Here is an 18,840-nt window from a genome sequence, read left to right on the forward strand (position 1 = left end):
CTGAAAGTGGCGGCTGCCACCCACGTCAAACAAGACTGGATCTTAAGAACATCCCAGGTAGTCCCGAGGCGGGCAGGGGGTGCGGCGCCCTGTTGGTTGGCGTTACATCGCAGAGCTCCCGGTCCCCTGCCCTCCTCCTACACGGAGGAAGCTGGAGCCCTAAGAGCAGAGTGACCTGCGTGAAGCCACAACACGCGTGTCCTCAGAGAGCGCTAACTCCCCCAAATCTCTGCTTTCATTAGTAAGACGAATTGGCTACACAGCAAGATAACCAAGATGCACTGCTAGGATAGGCAAATTTCATAGCAGTGTATGTACGCTATAGTCCTGGTTTCTTGTGAAAAAAAAATTAGGTATGTATGTGTGTACATTTTTTAAATTCAGGAAGATTATACACCAAGTTCCTATGCAGTCGGGTCTCTGCATCCTCGGGTTCCGCATTCACGGATTCAACCAACGAGGATTGAAAATATTTTTTCCAAAGTTTTAAAAATAAAAAATAGCCGGGCGCAGTGGCTCACACTTGTAATCCTAACATTTTGGGAGGCCAGGGTAGGCGGATCTCTTGGCCCCAGGAGTTGGAGACCAGCCTGGACAACATGACGAAACCACATCTCCACAAAAAAAAAAAAAAAAAAAAAATGCGGAGCGCAGTGGCTCACGCCTGCAATCCCAGCACTTTGGGAGGCCGAGGTGGGCGGATCACCTGAGGTCGGGAGTTTGAGACCAGCCTGACCAACATGGAGAAACCCCGTCTCTACTAAAAATACAAGATTAGCCGGGCGTTGTGGCGCATGCCTGTAATCCCAGCTACTCGGGAGGCTGAAGCAGGAGAATCGCTTGAACCCAGAAGGTGGAGGTTGCAGTGAGCCGAAATCGCGCCATTGCATACCAGCCTGGGCAACAAGAGCGAAACTCTGTCTCAAAAAAAAAAAAAAAAAAAAATTAGCCGGGCGTGGTGGTGCTGCCTGTGGTCCCAGCTACTTGGGAGGCTGAGGCAGGAGGATCACTTGAGCCCAGGAGGTCGAGGCTGCAGTGAGCTGTGATTGTACCACTGCACTCCAGCCTGGGTGACAGAGCAGGACACCGTCTCAGTTTAAAAAAGAATACAATTTTTAAAAACACAAATTAAATATAGCATAACAACAATTTACATAACATGTACAATGTATTCAGTATTATAAGCAATGTAGAGATTATTTAAAGTATACAGGAGGAAGTGTATAGGTTAGATGCAAATACTAGGCCTTTTTACATCAGGGCATCCATGGATTTTGGTCTTCTAGGGAGGGTCCTAAAACCAACCCCCTGCAGATACCAAGTGACAATTGGAGTGGTTTTATCTGAGAGGTGAGACTATGAAGGACTTCTTGTTTTTTACTTTCTTTTTATTGTTGAAGTTTTTACAAGGTGCACGTATTTTTGTAAGTAGGAAAATAGCCAATATCTTTGAGACTTGCTTCTGCAGAATGGTGACAATAGGCCGGGCGCGGTGGCTCACGCCTGTAATCCCAGCACTTTGGGAGGCGGAGGCAGGCGGATCACAAGGTCAGGAGATCGAGACCATCCTGGCTAACACGGTGAAATCCCGTCTCTACTAAAAATACAAAAAATTAGCCGGGCGTGGTGGCGGGCGCCTGTAGTCCCAGCTACTCGGGGGGGCTGAGGCAGGAGAATGGCGTAAGCCCGGGAGGCGGAGCTTGCAGTGAGCCGAGATCGCGCCACTTCACTCCAGCCTGGTCGACAGAGCGAGACTCCGTCTCAAAAAAAAAAAAATGGTGACAATAACACCCACCTTGCACAGTAGTAATGAAGATTTAATAAGACAGTGTATGTAAAACGCTTAGCACAGTGAATGGCCTATTGGTAAAATGCATGGAGTGTTCCCTTCTCCTTCCCTCGAATGGTATGACTTTTCGTGTTTGTCAAAATACAACTCAGAATCATTGCTGCCCCTCTGCTCAGACCCTCCACTCCTACTCTATGGAAATTCAGCTCCAAAAGGGCTCTGATCTACACTAGAGAAAGCCAAAAAGATAGCACAGGGCAAGCCACAGCAGGACGAGACAGACCTTGTTCTGCCCTCTTTGTTTGCCCTACCTGTCTCCACAAGTGTACCCTCCAGGCAGCTAAACTTGCCTCAAGGGCAGGAAAGGAGAGTCACCACTGTGACTACTGGGAGACCAACTCCTACTTTGAGATCTCAGATCATCAAAGTGAACTTGGAAAATTTGGACAAGTTGCAACCACCAAAGCTTCCACCTACAGGAAAGTTGTGAAGTAGATTTCCCTAAGGGCACCTGAAGTCTGCAACCATAGTTCTCACCTCCCCCACCTCCATCTGCCCTGACACTTCCCAGACCAGAGCCTGTAAAACCAGCTAAGATTAGTTTTCTGATCAATGAAAGGCAGCTCCTCAGAGCTTAAGTACAAGCCGTTTGTTCTACAGGAATGTCTTCTCCAAGATACCCACAGGGATAGCTGCCTTTCCTCCTTCACGCATTTGCTCAAATGTCACTGTCTTAGTCCTTTGGGGCTGCAATTTTTTTTTTTTTTAGAAATGCCATAAACTGGGTGGCTTATAAGCAACAGAAACTTATTTCTCATAGTTCTGGAGGGTGGAAAGTCCAAAATCAAGACACTAGCAGATTCATTGTCTGCTGGATGCCCACTGTCTGGTTCATAGATAGTGCCAAGTTACATGCTCAGTAGAGAGCATCCATCGCCATAGCCTTTGGTAGATAAATCTTTTCTTACTGTAGTCAGTTCCTTAAAAAGTCATGAGCACCTCTGAAAACTGGAAATGGCCCACAATGATCCATCCAGTAATTCACAGGTTTCCTATTGGTAGCCCTCATGCTTGTTGTAGGAGGCAGCCTATGTATATGTTAATCTTTCGTTCACTGAAAATCAGTGACACACAATAGATACCCTTTTTCACTTCTCAAATTAGTAATTTTTAAAATGTATTGCCCACTGTTGGTGAACATAAAATGAAAGGGGCATTGTCATTAAGCTTCAGAAGGAGCTACTTTTCTAGGAGTCAATTTATAGATTATCAAAGCTTCCAAAATGTTTCTACTCTTTAGCCCAGTGATCCCACTTAATTTCTTTAATTTCCCTTAAAAAAATAATTTTAAAAATAAGCTGAAAGAAAAAAAAAAAGGCTGGGCACAGTGACTCACACCTGTAATCCTAGCACTTTGGGAGGCCCAAGTGGCAGAATCGATTGAGGCCAGAAGTTATGACCAGCCTGAGCAACATAGGGAGACCCCGTCTCTATTTTTTTAAAAAAGAAAGTAAATTAATTTAAACATTAAAAATAAGATTTATGCAGAATGGGGTTTTTTTTAATAAAAGTGCAACTTATCTTTAATAATGGAAGTTATTTACAATAGTGAAAGGTATAAGTATTTAGAGGCTACAGTGAGTTACCCTCCAAGATCTTGGGAATGAAGAAATTGTACTTCCCACTGAGAGTTAAACGGCAAAATCAACCTAAGATGGTTTAGAGTCCAAGGATGCAAAATCAGTGGAAAGAGAGAGAAAAGATATTAGGCTCACTGGCCTTGGTTGAGGACATTCACTTCCAAAATAAATATTATGTCAGTCGGAAGAGGTTTTAAACACAGGCACCCAGAAACCAGAGAGTGCCATGGGCAGGGCCCATGCTCATTTGCAACACAGCCGGCACTTGTCCTATGTTCTGACCTATGGCAAGGCCATCCCCAAAATGAGAAGGTGGCACTAGACCATCCCAAAATTGGGCCCCGATAGGCATCCCACTCCGCTTTTCCTGGTACAAAGCTCACAAAAAGACCATTTGTGTCCTCAGCATTTGACTACATGGAAACATAGCATTCCAGTGTCTTCCTCCTGGTAAACTAAAAGGCAGTTTTTGATTACAATAGTCTTCCAACATAGGTGGAAAGGATATCATTTATGCCAGTGTTACCACGAATAGTCCCTGTGTGACAGTTATATGTCTCATTCAGATTTACAAAGTGACATCGTGATATATTCTTCAGGCCCCTGTGCAATGAGGTTAGCACAAATCAGCCTTTCAGAACTTAGTCACTCCTGGGGACTACAGGAACCAGTTCCAGCGGGTCTGTACACACCAGTTCCACATGCAGGAGTCTTATTACTGATTTCTACAAGGAGAAAGAAATCTCAAACAACCAAATGTTCAACATTAGAGGAAATCTTATACATCATGCTACCTCTATCCCATGTAATATTATGCAATTGTCAAAGTTTTTGTTTTTTAAGATAATTTAATTATTTGGAGAAATAGTTATAATACAATGTGTTTAAAATTATGATTCACACTCTAGAAACCAATTTGGCAGTTTCTTACAAGATTAAGCATGCAAATACCATACAACCCAGTAATGACACTCAGGTATTTGTCCCAGAGAAAGGAAAACATAGATTTTTACATAAAAACCTGTACACAAAGCTTTATTCATAATAGCCAAAACTGGAAACAACCCAGATGTCCTTCAACAGCATGATTCCATGTATAGAACATTTTTGAAAAGCCAAAATGTAGACATGGAAAACAGATTAGTGAAGGCCATGAAGACGGATGGGCACGTGGGAGGAGGGTGAGGAAGGAAGGGTTGTGATTTTTAAAAGGGCAACACAAAGGATCCTTGTGGCAATGGAATTGTTCTGCATCTTGACTGTGGTTATAGACGCACAAGCCTAACATGATAAATTGTATAGAAGTAAATACACACACACGTACAAGTAAAATAGGGAATTTTGAATAAGATCAGTAAATGTCAGTATCCTGGTTATGATATTGTACAAGATGTTACTATTGGAGAAAACTGAATAAAGGGTACAACGGGATCTCTCTGAATTATTTCTTTCTTTTTTTCCTTTTATTTTTAGTTGGCATGTAATAATTGTACATATTTATGGGATACAGAGTGATATTTCTTTTCTTTTTTCTTTTTTTTGAGACAGACTTTTTTTGAGACAGACTTTTTTTTTGAGAGACAGACTTTTTCTTTTTGAGACAGACTTTTCTTTTTTTTTTTTTTTTTTTTTTTTTTTTGTTTGAGACTGGGAAACAGTCTCACTCTGTTTCCCAGACTGAAGTGCAATGGTGCAATCTTGGCTCATTGCAACCTCTGCCTCCCGGGTTCAAGTGATTCTTCTGCCTCAGCCTCCCGAGTAGCTGGGATTACAGGCATGAGCCACCACGCCCAGCTAATTTTTGTATTTTTAGTAGAGACAGGGTTTCACCATGTTGGCCAGGCTGGTCTCCAACTCCTGGCCTCAAGAGATCCACCCACCTCAGCCTCCCAAAGTGCTGGGATTACAGGCATGAGCCACCGTGCCTGGCCCAGAGTGATATTTCAATACACATATACAATGTGTAATCATCAAATCAGAGTAATTAGCATATCCATCACCTCAAACATTTATCATTTCTTCATATTGTGAACGTTCAAAATCCTTTCTTTCTCTATATTATTTCTTATAACTGCTTATTAATCTATAGTTAATTAATCTATAGTTATATCAGAATAATAAGTTTAATTTTTAAAAGTTGATACAAAACTGTAGGTGCAATACCATTGCTTTGCATATTCTTGATCATATGTACACACAAAAAATCTTAACAATTATTAGCTCTAGGTAGTAGAGGTGTTGGATTTTATAAGTGATTTCTGAGTTTAGGCTTTTTAATATTTTTTAAATTCCTTACCATGAACATATATTCATTTTATAATTTATAAATATAATGAATGTAATCTTTAATCACAGCACGATCATTTGTAATAACAACCATATCTTCGTGATAACTCATACAAAGCTTTTTATCAGCTAGTACCCCCAAAACTTTTCGGCATAAATTGCTGCAAAACTAAGAATTTCCAATCCTGTACTTCTACAATTAAATTTTTGGAACCAAATATAGGACCTCACAGCTGAACTCTGATTGCCAAACCATGTCATTTCTCTGGCTCCCAGCAATCATGTGCAATTTAAAGACTTTGGGCCAGAAGGACCCTGAGCTTCTTTCACCCTTATAGTCCTGGGCGTCATGCTACTACCAAGAACCTTCTGGGAACTTTGGTCTGTCTACTTAGAGATAATGAATTCTAAAGAGAGAAAATGAACCACTTTCTCTCAGGTCTCAGACTATGATCATATCTCCTTGAGAAGCAGCTCAAATTATTGTGAGAACCTGCCACTTGCCTACCCCACCACCTTCCACCTCAGCAAAGTCCCCATTAGCTCAGGGTATCAAACCACTCATAATACTGCTAGATGGTCAGTGGTAGGAATTTGCAGATTTATGGGCCTATAAAATCATTCACTTTCACTGCTGGAATGATGCAAGTCTCCTAGGTTAATAAGTAACATGGCCTTCACAAACATCAACTGGAGCACAGCGTGGGAGAATTCCAACTCTGTTGCCACATTTCCTAAAATCCAAAACCATTTCTGCTTCTGCAATACCTGTGCTTCTCTGTCATGGTGCATGCTGGTATGAATTCTCCCTCTTCCGACACATCATTGTCGTCCTCCTCAGGGCTTCTCTTCATATCACTTTCTACTGTCTGTGAGGGGTCACCCAGCACTTCTCTTAGGGAAACCTTCTATGTCTCCTTGTATCAGGATCTGAGTCAATGACCACATCTGGTGGATTCCACTTTCCTGTGCAGATGGCATATAAGCTAGCTGTCCATCCTCAAAATTCCCAGTATCCACCCCAGATTGATGTGTGCTTGCGAGACACACACATCAACAGTTGCCTTTTTGCTAGCCCAACAGGGTAAAGAAGGGCTCCCTTTTGAGCCTTATCTGTGGGTCCCTTCCTTTGGCTGGCTTTGCCAGTACAGCAGAAATGCTTCCCTAAGATGGGCCTCTTCAACAAAGAACCCAAAGTCAAGTTTACCTGGTCTCTGTACTGGTTCACATACTTAGTTGCCAGTCCACACCAAGGTCCACTGAGCTTACGCAGACATTTTTGTATCTATTTTACACCATATGTCTGTTGGATATAATAATAAAATATTTGGACATATTTTGTGCATCACTTTTTACTCTGTTTTTCTGGTAATTCATTTTTGTTGCATTTTATGAAAGTTTCAGTCAATACATATTAGAAATAAAAAAGAATTTTTGAAAACTTGGTCCTTCAACACAAAAATTTGGGAATTGCCGGTCTGGGAGACTTGGAGGGAATTAACCTACAGCACACACTTTGACAAACATTACTGTCCAGGGTCATATCATCATACCGCATCCCTGGCTCAAAAAGTCAACCTCTGTCTTGAAACCCACTCTAGACCATTGGCTTTCCCTCTGGCAGCACATGAAAATCACTAGAAAGCTTTTATTTTGTCTTTTCTTATTTTGTTTTTATGGTTGCTGGGTTTTTTTAAACAGGGTCTCTCTTTGCCAAGGCTAGAGTGCAGTGGTACAAACACAGCCCACTGCAGCCTTAACCTCCTGGCTCAAGCGACCCACAGTCTCAGTCTCCCAAGTAGCTGAGACCACAAGTGCGTGCCACTAAGCCCAGCTATTTTTTTATTTTTTGTGGAGACAGGGTCTCACCATGCTGCCCATGCTGGTCTTGAACTCCTGGGCTCAATCAATCCTTCCACCTCGCCTCCCAAAGTGCTGGGATTGCAGGCATGTGCCATGGCGCCTGGCGAAGGGAGCTTTTAAAATACAGTTATAGAGGCCATACTCTGAATCAATTAAATCAGAATCTCCCAGGGTGGGTATTTTTTAAAAGCTCCCCAAGTAGTTCAAAGGTACAGCCAGGATTAACAGTCCAAACCTTCTCAATTCATCATCTTGGACCACTTGCCTGGCCTTCTGTTGTTTTGTTTTTGTTTGAGGAAATATCTGAGTCAATATCTCTCCTTCCAATAATACTTTAAATTCAAAATTAAAGCAACAAATGAGGACGGGAAAGCACTTCTAGCATAGCAAAGACCTCCATTAAAATGATAAGAACACTGTCAAAAATGCTCAAAATCAACTTCTGCAAAACTCCCAAAATTAATCAAAGGCATGCAACAATCTGAGGACTATTTATTCAAGAAAACAGCTGCATCTTGGTAAGAATGGCATATTTTTGTCATTTTAATGTACCCTATTCCCATCTCCCTCTCTGTAGCTCTGCAATAGCCTTGAAAACCAAGAACCTGACAGTAACAGTAGCTATGAAAAACAGCATCCAAGAATTCCCAGAAGGAAATAAAATGGGATTGGAATTCCCAAAAGCCTCATCTCCAGAGAATTATCACTATTTGATCTTTGTGGCAGCTCCTTTAAAAGCTCCATTCTCAGGGCTCATCTTTATTTGGCCTAAGGTTGGCCTGTATAGAACAGCCTATGGCTAGGGAATTTGTCAGAGATAATCATTAGCAATTGTTTAACATCACAGCTGCCTGAGGCAGTGCTATCAGTTGAGGTTTACAAGAGACTGGCTAAAAAAACTTAACCAGAAAAAAAAAAGTGAAATTAGATCTCCACAGGGGACATCTGGACATTCATAAATCTCCAACATATTCCTAAAATCCAAAACCATTTCTGCCTTCTGCAATACCTGTGCTTCATACATGTGTGCATGCCCAGAAAAGAACTAAGAAGGCCCTTTTCTCCTACCTGTGGCTGACTTTAACCCTCTGTGCAAGTGGCAAGTGAAGACTGAGGCAGAATTATAAAGTGAAAGAGTGTTGAAGTCATGCCCTACACAAGTGGTTGCCTTGGCAAAGGCTGGGAGGCTTATTGGTTCAACGTATTTAGGGACATCTCTGTCCAATCACTAGATGACCACTGAGTTAACCAAGCTTAGGTGTCTGTGGCTACATATGACAAAGACTAAAGATTTTACAAAGTTAGTCCAGGGAAGTCACTGGAATAACAGTAAGTGTATTAGTCTGTTCTCACGCTGCTAATAAAGACATAACAGAGACTGGGTAATTAATAAAGGAAAGAAGTTTAATTGACTCACAGTTCCACATGGCTGGAGAGGCCTCACAATCATGGCTGAAGGCAAATGAGGAGCAAAGTCACATCTTACATAGCAGCAGACAAGAGAGTTGTGAAGGGTAACTCCCCTTTATAAAACCATCAGATCTCATGAGACTTATTCATTATCACAATAACAGCATGGGAAAGACCCGACCCCATGATTCAATTACCTCCCACAAGGTCCCTCCCATGACACATGGGAATTATTGGAGCTACAATTAAAGATGACATTTGGGTGGGGTCCCAGCCAAACCATATCAGTAAGCAAACAAAAAGCAACAATAAACCCCAAGGAGGGGCAGAATCTGATTTTCAGAGGTATCACATTATATTATATAAAATATCCATTCTTGGCCAGGTGCAGTGGCTCATGCCTGTAATCCCAGTGCTTTGGGAGGCCGAGGCGGGTGGATCATTTGGAGTCAGGAGTTTGAGACCAGCCTGGCCAACATGGTGAAACCCTGTCTCTAGGAAAATACAAAAATTAGCTGGGTGTGGTGGCATATGCCTGTAATCTCAGCTACTGGGATGGCTGAGGCAGGAGAATCACTTGAACCCATGAGGTGGAGGTTGCAGTGAGCTGAGATTGCACCATTGCGCTCCAGCCTGGGTGACGAAGCGAGACTCTATCTCAAAAAACAAATCCATTTTTAACAACAAAAAAATTATCACAAAGAGAAGGGAAATATGGTCTGTATGCAGGAAAACAAACTGTCCATAGAAACAGTGTTTGAAGAAGCACAGGTGTTGGGCTTAACACACAAGGACTTTAAATTAGCTATTATGTTCAAAGGACTAAAGGAAGCATATCTAAAGAATTAAAAGAAAGTACAATAACAATGGCTTATCAAATAGAGAATATCAACAAAGAGATAGAAATATTCTTTTTTAAAAAAATCAAATGGGAAATCTGTAGTTGAAAAATACAATAACTGAAGTGAAACATTTCATCAGAGAGATGAAACAGCAGATTAGAACTGGCAGGAGAAAGAGTCAGTGAACTTGAAGATACGTCAACTAAGAATATGCAGTTTGAAGGAAATAAAGACAAAATAATTAAAAAGAGGGTATAGAGCCTCAGAGACTTGTGAGACATCACCAAGCATAGCAACATGTGCATAATGGTAATACCAAAAGGAAAGTTAAAGGCTATCAACTAAGAATTCTACATCCAGCCAAACTCTTTTCCAAAACAAAGGAAAGAATGCAACAGGAAGTATATATGAAGAAATAATGGCCATAAACTTCTCAAATTTGATGAAAAACATTAGTCTGAACACAAAAGAATTCAACAAACTCCAAATAGATTAACTCAAAAAGATCTAGACCTAAAAACAGCATAATTAAATGTTGAAAGCCAAAGATGAAGTGAAAATCTTAAAAGCAGCAAGAGAAAAGAACTTATCATATAGAACGGAGCCTCAGTAAGATTAACAATGAACTTATCAGCAGAAATAATGGAGTTTAGAAGGCAGTGAGATGACATAGTCAAAGGACTGAAACGTAAAGGCTGTGAACTAACGATTCTATATCCGGCAAAACTATACTTCCAAGATAAAGGAAAAAGATACTTCCATCTAAACAAAAATTGAGAGGATTTGTTGCTGGCAGACCTGCCCTATAGGAAATACCAAAGAGATTCCTTTAAACTGAAAAGAAAGGGCACTAGACAATCATTTGAATTCACACAAAGAAATAAGCGCTAGTAAAGGTAATTACATAGGTAAATACAAAAGACAGTAAAAATGTGGTTTGTAACTCTTTTCTTCATATTGAAATCAGCTTATTGCATAAACCAATAATTATAGACATATGTAATGGGCTCATAATGTATAAATATGTAATTTTTATGACACTAGTAGCAAAAAGAGGTGGGAAAGAACAGACCTATATTGGAACAAAGTTTTTGCATACTATTTAAACTAAGTTAATATTATTGCAAAGTAGAGTGTTTTAAGTTAAGATGTTAATTGTAATCCCCAGGAAAACAAGTTAAAAATAATTTTAGGCCAGGCGCGGTGGCTCACACCTGTAATCCCAGCACTTTGGGAGGCTGAGGCGGGCAGATCACGAGGTCAGGAGATCGAGACCATCCTGGCTAACACAGTGAAACCCCGTCTCCACTAAAAAAAAAACAAAAAAATTAGCCTGGAGTGGTGGCAGTCACCTGTAGTCCCAGCTACTTGGGAGGCTGAGGCAGGAGAATGGCATGAACCTGGGAGGTGGAGCTTGCAGTGAGCCAAGATCACGCCACTGTACTCCAGCCTGGGTGAGAGAGCAAGACTCTGTCTCAAAAATAATAATAACAATAATTTTAAAATATTTGATAAAGGAAACAAAGGAGTTATAATGGTATAATACAAAATGTATATTTAACACACAAGAAAGCAGTAATGGAGATATAAAGAAACAAAAAAGACATAAGACAAACATAAACCAGATACTCAAATCATACATGTAAATCATACCTTCTCAGTAATAGTGTTAAATGGAAATAAACTCAGTATTCCAATATAAAGGCAAAGATCAGTAAAATGAATAACTTTAAAAAACCTGATCCAACTATATGCTGTCTACAAGAGACATGTTTTACATTCAGACATAAAGGAGTTGAAGATAAAAGAGTGTGGAGAAATATACCATACAAACATTAACCAAAGTAGAGGTGTAGTGGCTATACTAACAACACACACGCACACACACACACACAAACAAACAAAAATTGTTATTAGAGAAAAAAAAAAGGACATTTTATCATGATAAAAGGGTCAACTCATAAGGAAGATATAACAATTATAAGCATACATGCATCAAAAATATATCGGGCAAAAACTGACCAAATAGAATGGAGAAATTGGCAATTCAAGAATTGTATAATTTAACAATAGACAGAACAAAGAGGCAAAAGATAAACATAGAAAACTGAGGAGCAGAACATTATAAATCAACTAGGCTTAACGTATTTCTGTACAACACTCTACCCAATGGCAGCAGAATATACATTATTCCCAAGTGCAGACGGCACATTCACCAGGATAGATCATGTATTAGGCCACAAAACAAGTTCCAATAAATTTTAACAGAACCAAAATCATACAAAGTATTTCTTCTCTAACCACAGAGGAATAAAGCTAGAAATCAGTAACAGAAGGAAAATTGGTAAATTCACAAAATATGTGGAAATTAAACAAAACATTGATAAACAACCAATAAGTCAAAAAGAAAATTACAAGCAAACTTAGAAAAAAACTTTCAGATGAATGCAAATAAAAATACAACATACCAAAAGTTATGGGATACAGAGAAAGCAATGCACAGAGGAAAATTTATAGCTATAAATAACTATACTGAGAAAGAAGAAAGATCTAAAATTAGCAACCTAACTTCACACTTTAAGGAACTAGAAAAGCAAGAGCAAACTAAACCCAAAACTAGAAGAAGGAAGGAAATAATAAAGATTAGAACAGAGATAAATGAAATAGAGAACAGAAAAACAATAGAGAAAACCAATGAAACCAAAAGACGGTTTTTTTGAAAAGATCAACAAAATTGACAAATCTTTAGCTAGACTGATTATAAAATGGAGAGAGGTAAATGACTAAAATTAGAAAGTGGGGGCATTTCTACTAACCCTATAGAAAAAGGATTATAAGAGATACTATAAACAATTGTACACTGACAAATTAGATAACCACAATGATATGAATAAATTCCTAAAAACACAAATTACCAAAAGTGATTGAAGAAGAAATAAAAACTCTAAATAGACCTGTAAAAAGTAAAGAGATTGAATCAGCAACCAAAGCCAGGACCAGATGGCTTCACTAATGAATTCTACTAAATATTTAAAAAAGAATTAAAACCAATCCTTCTCAAACTCTTCCACAAAATGGAAGAGCTACAGCTTTCTAGCTAATTCTATGAGGCCAGAATTAGCCTGATACAAAATCCAGACAAAGAAAACACAAAAAGAGAAAACTATAGATCAAAATCCCATGATGAACATAGAATGCAAAAATCCTCAACAAAGTATTATCAAATTGAATCCAACAGCATATTATAAGGGTTATACACTATGACCAATTGGGATTTATCCCAGGAATGCAAGAGTGGTTCAACATAAGAAAATCAATCAATGTAAGACACCATATTAACAGAACCAAAAAAATCTTCAATTTATGAAAAAAATTCTCAGTTAGGGCAGAAGAAAATTTTGACAAAATCCAACACACTCTCATGATAAAAACACTAAAAAAAACTAGGAATAAAAGGAATACCTTCTACATAATAAAGAACCCCTGTGGAAAACCCACAGTTAACATATTCAATAATTAAAGACTGAAAGCTTTCTTCTTAAGATCAGGAACAAAACAAGAATGCCTAATTTTATGGCTGTTATTGAACATTGTGCTGTAAGTTCTAGCTGGAGCAATTAGGCAAGAAAAAGAAATGAAGCATCCAAATTGGAAAGAAAGAAGTAAAATTATTTCTATTCACAGATGACATGATCCTATATATAGAAAATATGAAAGAATCCACAAAATAAACTACTAGAGTTAATAATGAATTCAGTAGAGTTGCAAAGTGTAAGATCAACATGCAAACATCAGTTGTGTTTCTATATACCAGCAATAAACAACATGAAAAAGAACTCCATTTACAATAGTATTTAAAAGAATAAAATACCCAGGAATGAATTTAACCAAGATAATGATACGTACACTGAAAACTATGCAACATTGCTGAAATAAATTAAACAAGGCCTAAATAAATAGAATAGCCCAGGTTCATAGACCAGGAGACTTCCTGTTGTTAAGATGGCAACACTGTACAAATTGGCCAAAAGATTCAAGACAATCCCTAACAATTTCCAATGCCTTCTTCAGTAATGAAGAACCCAGTCCTCAAATTCATGTGTGATTGTGGGGGCTCCAAATGCCAAAATAATCCTGAAAAAGAACAAAGTTGCAGGACTTACACATGCCAATATCAAAATTTACTACAAAGCTACAGTAATCAAGACACTGTGGTACAAACATTGTAGATAGATGCACAGGACTATGAAATTGAATTGAGGATTCAGAAATAAACCTATTAATCTATGACCAGTCGATTTCAGACACAGGTGCCAAGACCATTTAATGGAGAAAGAATTGTCTCTTCTCCATTGGAACACTGGAGCACTGGAACAACTGGATATCCACATGCAAAAGAATAAAGTTGGACCCTAGCTCACACCATATACAAAAATTAACTCAAAATAGACTGTAGAAATAAATATAAGAGCTAAAATTATTAAACTCTTCAACAAAAAATACAGAAGTAAATCAAAGCATGAACAACATAAGAAAAAAATAGATAAATTGGACTTCATCAAAATTAAAAATTTTTGTGCCTCAAAGGGCACCATCAATAAAGTGAAAAAACAACCCACAGAATGGAAGAAAATATTTGCAGATTTTACATCTAATAAGTGACTTGTATTCAGAATATATAAAGAACTCTTAACACAACAATTTTATTGATTTTCAATGACAAACCAATTTAAAAATGAACACAGGATTTAAATAAATATTTCTCCAAGGAAGGTACAAATGGCCAACATGCACATGAAAAGGTGCTCAACATCATTCATCACTAGACAAATGCAAATCAAAACCACAATGAGATACCACTTTAAACATACTACAATGGTTATAATAAAAAGGACAGTAACAAGTGTCAGCATTAATATGGAGACATTGGAACACTTGTACATTGCTGGTAGGAAGGTGAAATGATCAGCTGCTTTGGCAAACAGTTTGGTGGTTCCTTAAACAATTAAACATGAAGTTTCAAAGTGACCTAGCAATTCCATTTATATGTATATAACCAAGAAAATTGAAAACACGTTCTCACAAAAATACGCACATGAATAATTGTAGAAACATTATTTATAATAGCCAAAAAGTAGAAATAACCCAAGAATGGATAAACAAAGTCCATACAAAGAACCATTATTTGGGCACACACACACTAAAAAAATGAGGCACTGATACATGCTACAACATGGAACCTTGAAAACCTTATGCTAAGCAAAGCAGCTAGACTCAAGAGGCCACAGATTGTATAGTCTCGTTTATATGTATGATCCCATTTTTATAAAATGCCCAGAATAGGTGTAGCCACAGAAACACAAAGTAGACTAGAGGTTGCAAATGACTGAATGGTAGGGCAGTGGCAGGGCGGGGATGTGGAGGGACTGCTAATGGGGGTGGGCTCTCTTCTTGGTGTGATGAAAATGTTCTAAAATTAGACAGTGGTGATAGTTGCAAAACTCCATTGAACATACTAACAGTTACTGAATTGTGCAGTTTAAAAGGGTGAATTTTATGGTGTCAATTCTTTCTCAATAAAGCCGTTATTGAAATGTTGTAGCATCTTTCACCTATCAGATGGACCAGTCCTAAAATTATGACAATACATAGTACTGATGAGGGTATGGTTAAGTAGGTACTATGTATGCTGAGGGTGGTAGTACAAATTGGTACAGCTTCTTTCAGGAGTAATTGTACAGCTTCTACCAATATTTACAATGCATCTACCCTTTGATTTAGCATTTTCAATTTTAGCAATATGAAATATTGGTATATTCAGATAGGTACATAAAAGATTTGGTAGATTTACAGGCAGATCTGTAAGAATGATCTTATAAGGTCTGTTTAGTTAGTAATATTGCACCAATGTTAATTTCTTGATTACAATAATTATATCATAGTTAGATAAGTGAATATTAAGGAAAGCTGGGTAAAGGGTATATAGGCACTCTAATATTTTTGCACTTTTTTTCCTAATTTGAAATTATTGCAAAATAAAAAGTCATAAAAAAGAAGATATATTATTAGGTGAAAATGCAAGGTGAAGAACAGTGTGTATTCAGTGTGCCATTTGAGTAAAAGTAATGAGGTACATAAACATATATTCATTTGTATTGGCATAGACTATTTCTTAAGTGATAAGTTTTTAAATGTGGTTGCCACTGGCTGGGTGCAGCGGTTCATGCCTGTAACCCCAGCACTTTGGGAGGCCGAGGCGGGTGGATCACCTGAGGTCAGGAGTTCAAGACCAGCCTGGCCAACATGGCGAAACTCTGTCTCTACTAAAAATACAAAAATTAGCCAGGCGTGGTGGTGTGCACTTGTAATCCCAGCTGCTTGGGGGACTGAGACAGGAGAATCGCTTGAACCCAGGAGGCGGAGGTTGCAGTCAGCAGAGATCATACCAATGTGCTCCAGCCTGGGCTACAGAGCAAGACTCTGTCTCAAAAAAAAAAAAAAAAAAAAAAAAAAAAGAGTGGTTGCCTCTGTGGTGACAGGAAGACTGGAGTAGAAGGGATCCTTTATCATTCAGGGTTCCACCAGAGAAACAGAGCCAGTAGGAGAGAGAGAGATTTGTTACAAGAAATTGGCTTACATGATTCAAGGGGCACTCACTAGGCAAGTCTGAAATCCATGGGGAGGGTGATCAGGAGGGGTAGGCTGAAAACTCTCAGACAGGAGCTGATGCTGCAGTCCACAGGCCGAATTTCTTTTTTCTCAGCTTTGTTTTTAAGGCATTTCAACCAATTAGATCAAGCCTACCCAGATTATCTAGGGTAACCCACTTTAGTTTAAATCACCTGATAGTAGACATTAATCACAACTACAAATTACCTTCACAGCAACACCTAGATCAGTGTTTGATGAATAACTGGGTACCATAGCTTAGCCAATTGATACATAAAACTGCCTATCACCAGGACTTAAAAGTTACAGTGCACTATCTTATTCTGCTTGAACTTTTTTATAACCATGTGTGTGTATTGCTTTTTCCATTAAAAACAGTGTATTAGTCCATTCTCACACTGCTAAAAAGAACTACTTGAGATTGGTAATTTATAAAGAAAAGAGGTTTAATTGACTCACAGTTGCACACATTGCACAGGAGGCATGGCTGGGGAGGCCTCAGGAAATTTCAATCATGGCAGAAGGGTGAAGGGGAAGCAAGCACATCTTCACACGGCAGCGAGCGAGAGAGAGAAGAAGAAAGTGCTACACACTTTTCAAACAACCAGATCTCATGAGAACTCACTATCATGAGAACAGCAAGGGGGGAAGTCCGCCCCCATGATCCAATCACCTCCTACCAGGTCCCTCCCCCAACATTGAGGATTACAATTCAACACGAGATTTGGGTGGGGACACAGAGCCAAACCATATCAAACAGCTATATCAATGTTCCAAAAAAAAAAAAGTAGAGAAAGTGTTAGTGCTCTCTGGCCATGGAGGTCATGATTTCCTTCTCTCAGGCAGCCATCTCTCTCCTCATCACACCAGCCTAGCATCCTGTCTTTCTACTTCAAGGTCTATATTTACCATCACTGTCTGTTTCAAAGGACATGTCTCCATTTTGCATCTTCTTAACCATTTGCAGTTTTATCAATCCCTCCCTTTCAAGGGGAGTGGCCAGAGTTTAAAAAGCTGTCTTCATCCTCTTAACCAGTTAAATGGCCCCCTCCATCAAAAGAGAGAACCCTTGACCTCACCCCAACTCCTGAGTCAGGCTATGTGAAGTTGGGCTGTTTATTTCTCATATCCACCACCTGGAATGTTGTGGTGAAGAAAGAGAGCCCAAGCTCCCATGGACCAGAACTGAGAGAACCCACATTAGTCCTGATGGTAGGAGACAGAAGAGAAAATAATACGGAGGCGAAAAGGGGCGATCCCTCTGACTCGTCTATTTATAATGAAGTGGGGCCACTGAACCCAAGGTGTAATGCACAGTGGAATTAGATAAGACTGTCCCTCTTGGATAGCCATCAACGTGGGCTGAGGCCTGGGGTAACCACTGCCCTCTCATGAAAATCTTTAGCTGCGCTTGGGCTGCCTACCATCTCTCACCCTCTGAGAAAATACATGAAGTCCCCAGTGCCCTGGATGCTCACAGTGACTGATCTACCCTAATTTTTGCTGAGAAGGGTGACCTTCACCTGTCTTGCAGCTGTGGTGGTTATTCAAACCCTGCTATAGTATATGCTGGAAACCAAGATATTAGTTTGGAACAGGTGAAAAAGAAACCTAATGGATCAGTCTCTCAGACATGAAGCAAACAAGCCTCATTTCTCACCCCCATTTGACTGCCCATGTGGCGGCCAAGACTGCCCCAGCAGGCTCTTGGAGTTGCTAAGGAGCTGCCTCATCATCGGACCATGCAGTTTCCATGTTCCTGATCCTACGTCCTTGAACTATTAAACCCTCTGGTTCCAAGGATTCGTTCCTACTCCACACACAACCCCACCCAAGAAACTAAACTCTCCCTTCCATCCCAAAGTAGCCCAACATTGGGATGGCCCAATATTCTCATATAATCAAAAAAGAAGTGAATCTTATCACATCTGCAAATCCCCTGTCCTTCTGAAAAATAACTAAACTGAGTGGTATAAAAACTGTAAAGGTCATTCCCTAAAAGGAAACAAAATAAATTCTAACATGAATTAGAGAAAAATATAATGAAACAGATGACGATAGTGCACTGAAATACCTATTGACTTAGTATCTCTAGCTTAAAGTGCCATCTAAATTGAGCCCGTTTGAGGATCTACAATCAATTTTATCCACAAAAGAAACAATCTTTCACAGCAATAGTTTGCCCATTTTGATGGTGAAACATTAAGAGGCCCATGTATTTTCTCAGTGAATCTCAAGCACAATAGGTTAGGTCTATTAACTGAGTGAATGAAAGCAGGCTTTAATCTTTATAGTGAAATAAATTGTGACTCCCTATAGCAGAAGTTCCCTGTCAAACCAC

The sequence above is a fragment of the Homo sapiens genome, chromosome 7 (genome assembly GCF_000001405.40).
Source record: "Homo sapiens chromosome 7, GRCh38.p14 Primary Assembly".
Lineage (NCBI taxonomy): Eukaryota > Metazoa > Chordata > Mammalia > Primates > Hominidae > Homo > Homo sapiens.